Source organism: Homo sapiens, chromosome 5, assembly GCF_000001405.40.
Source record: "Homo sapiens chromosome 5, GRCh38.p14 Primary Assembly".
In the NCBI taxonomy this organism is placed as follows: domain Eukaryota; kingdom Metazoa; phylum Chordata; class Mammalia; order Primates; family Hominidae; genus Homo; species Homo sapiens.
This window is the reverse complement of record NC_000005.10, coordinates 118,748,975-118,752,562: the sequence shown is the minus strand read 5'-3', so window position 1 is coordinate 118,752,562 and position 3,588 is coordinate 118,748,975.

Here is a 3,588-nt window from a genome sequence, read left to right as displayed (position 1 = left end):
GTAGCTAGTTTGAATTTTTTTTTTATTATGAAATGTCAATTTCATTTCCAAACCGTAATGATTTATGATTCTCTTAGCACAGTTAGTACCATCACTTTTTGCTTGTAACCTGTGTTGCATCTACACCTGGGAATTTATCAGGAAGTCAGAGCCAACTTTTTCTAACTGGTCTTTCCGCCAGAGTGCAGTGATATTTCTATTAAAAACAAACCAAAAATGGGCAAGCTCATTTATTCTCCATATATTATGAAGTTCCCTTTTTTGTGATACTGATTTTGTTGTCTTTAATGACCTAATTGCTCAGATTGTTAAAGGAACTGGGACAAGGAGGTTGGTTTTTATATTACAGGTCCTTAGACATCCTGCTGCATCTTCCTGGTCTCAGACAGCCACGGTTCTTGGTGGGAAGATCTCAATAGATGATTATTGCCCATCTAAATGAAATTAGTACTATGTTGTGGCTGAGCACACCTTCCCCCAATGTAGAATTTGATTTGTCTCCTTTTAGATCTGCAGATCCCAGTGAGAGAGACATTGGAGAATGAAGATAAAACCTAAACAAAGAGTATCAGCTGTATGTCTCCTGCAAAGAACACAACTGTTACAGAGTGAGAAGGATTCTCTCTGAGGTTGCTTTACATCATCTTAGTTACCTGGCTTTGAATTTTTCAAAGGGGCATAAAACCTAGAAACAAACGTCCTGGATTTCATTTGTGGCAGCCCAAAGATTCTAGTAGAGCGTGAGCAACCAAAAGTTCTCATGAGGATACTACCCTTTATGCATTTTGCTAAGCATAAGTGATCAATTATATTAATCATGTGCTGGTGGCCACAGAGAGAGACCATAGGCTTCCTGAAATTCTCATTGCTCTTAAGTAACCACAGGGAAAGGGGATTATTTTGTTATTTTTAATAGGATATTAGTAGGAACCCAGTATATCAAAAATTATAAACCAGTGGGAAAAGAATGGGTTAGTTTACAAACAATGTTAGGAGACAAGTTAAAGTTAGTCTCCCTCCCACCCTTATATATAAAAATAAATCCCCCAAATGTTAAAGGGTTAAGTGTAAAATATAAACATTTAAAACATACAGAAGAAATATACAGGTGATTACTAAAAGAGAAAGATAGAATTCTAAGTACAAAAGGCAATAGAAGAGACGATGAAAGAGAAGTTGTTTTATTTGACTCTAACGTTTGACCTGGTTTGGAACCATGGGAAGATGGTCTCCAACAAGTGTGAAGTCTACTTAGTTTTTGGGTTGTGGATGAGCTGTTGTTGTAACTTTCAAAGGTGTGGTTCTCACAGGCATTGCTGGTAGACTAAATAAAGGTAATGTGTCGGCCCTGGAAGGTGAGCTGGGAAAAAGTCATGTGAACAGCCTTGTAAATATATTTTCATCTATTTGTTTTCTGAAGTCATATAGGAGTAGCACAAATTTTACTCACTTCAATGTCATTTCTGCATTTCCCCTACTCTCCCTACTAGAATAATTTGTCAAAATTCCACATTTATAAAATTATAGTATTGAAGGTTAGAGTAGAAGGAGGGAGAAGGAGATAAAGGAGAGAAAGCACAAAAGGAGAGAAAAGAAAAGGAGGAAGAAATGACAGGAAGGAAAATGAGGAGATATTCCCTATGCTAACATGACTTTAGAAAAGCAGACTAGAGGATAAAAGAACAGGAGAGATGGAGGGTGGTGGAGCAGATGAGGTGGAACTGGATCCTTTCAGTCCTCGGCAAGGTGTGGTCCCATGACTGGAAGCCAGATTCCTCATAAACCTAGAACCTCTGTTTCTAGGATGTCAAGACACTCGGTTCTCTTCTTTTGTTCCTAGTATCCTGTGTGTGTGCCTTCCTGTCTTGGCATTCTTGGTTGACATCCCTTTCTTCATACTTTAGGCCTTGGGCCTCTTCTATGTTAAGGCCCAAGTCTTCCCTTGCCAGTCCCCTTGCCAGCCTCCCAAGCTAGCAAATCTTTCCTCTGTACAGACTCCAGACCTTGTTCAGCCTGGTTTGCAGCTGGTCTTTGCAGAGAAGCTGATCTTCCTGCTTCTCTTGTCATATATTGGCTATTTGTCTCAAATTGCAGTCTTTTGGCTGGTTTAGTTTACATGTTGTTCTGGTCTCAGCCTTTTGGGGGGCTTTATCTGATACCTTACAGATTTCTGGGACCTCCCCGACCTCCATGACCTCCATGTTAATAAGAGAACTTTGGCTTTCTGTGTCCACCAACCAAGCCTTTGGTTCTTTCTCTTCAGCTTGCTTTGGATTTCCATCTCACTTCGTTCCCTTGCAGCCCAAACTACTATTACAATCAGCCTCATGGAGTAGAAAACTACCTGGCTTTATCCCCGAGAGCCTGATTTTCCCTCTACTTATCCCATCCCATGACCCTCAGGGTGTCACCCTGAGAGGTGGTGGTAACTGTGGATAGGCAGATGGAAATTAGGGAATTCTGTGCCTTCTCACTGACTAGTGCCCATCAGGGAAGACTTAACTATGCAAGAGATGGAAGTAGCTAGTGAAGAGAAAGGTGTATGTGTTTGACTGGCTGATATATAATTCACTGTTAATTACCATTGCTTATTCAATCTGCAGAGTTTTTACAATGCCACAGATTGTTCTAGCTCATTAAAAATTTTAGTCTTTGGCTGCAGTATCTGGAATGAGCTAACTGCTTGAAAAGGTCATGATCATGTAGTGCAGTGGCATACAAGCACTTCCTCTAAGGTAACCGCTGAGATAGTAGGTAGAACTTCAAGACCAATTCCAGTGCCAGTCTTAAAACATGCACCTTTTTTTTTTCATGGCTTTGCCAGCTGGACAACCCTACACTTTAAACTACTCTCCATCTTGGCAAATACTTTCATCCTCATTCTTCAATAGACAAAAGCTGCCTGCCTAGTATTTTCAGAGTGGCTGAGAGAACCTAAGATCCAGGGGCGTTCCATCTGATTAGAGTTGCTGAACAATTATTCTTGAATATTACCAGCTGAGTATGCAAAAATCTAGCCAGGCAAGTGAGGGCAGTTGAAGCTCTTTCTGCAGAATTATATAACTGGCCCACATAAAGAATCACCCAGTGGTTCTTCCTGCTTCTTTCTGGCCCTCTCCATGCATTTTGTTTTTGCTTCCTCTACCCGTCTGCCCTCTGACACTTTCTAACATACTGTGTTTTCTCATTAATATCCTCTCTCATGGTAGTCTTTTTGATTTCTTAAGCATGGCTTATTGTAAAACTTAAAGACTGTGGGTCTTTAGTTATGAATCTGCTTTCATCCTGGGCCAACGCTTTTCTTTCAAAAGGATCTTCTTGAATAAATACATTAAAATTACTGAAGGGATTCTTTACACTGACCTGACATGGTGAAGAGAGAGGGCTGCTCCTTCCAGAAACCAAGATTGGCCTCCTGAGCAACAGATTGCTGTGGATGTTGATAGTGGCTTAAGTTCCCACCTTTATTTAGTTTCAAAAACAGGGCTGGGCAACTTAGGTGGACAAGTGGTGTTAGGTAAATCTTTTAAAAGGCAGGAAACTGTGGACCAGGATGGGATCGAGGAACAGGAATTTAGGATGTAATTT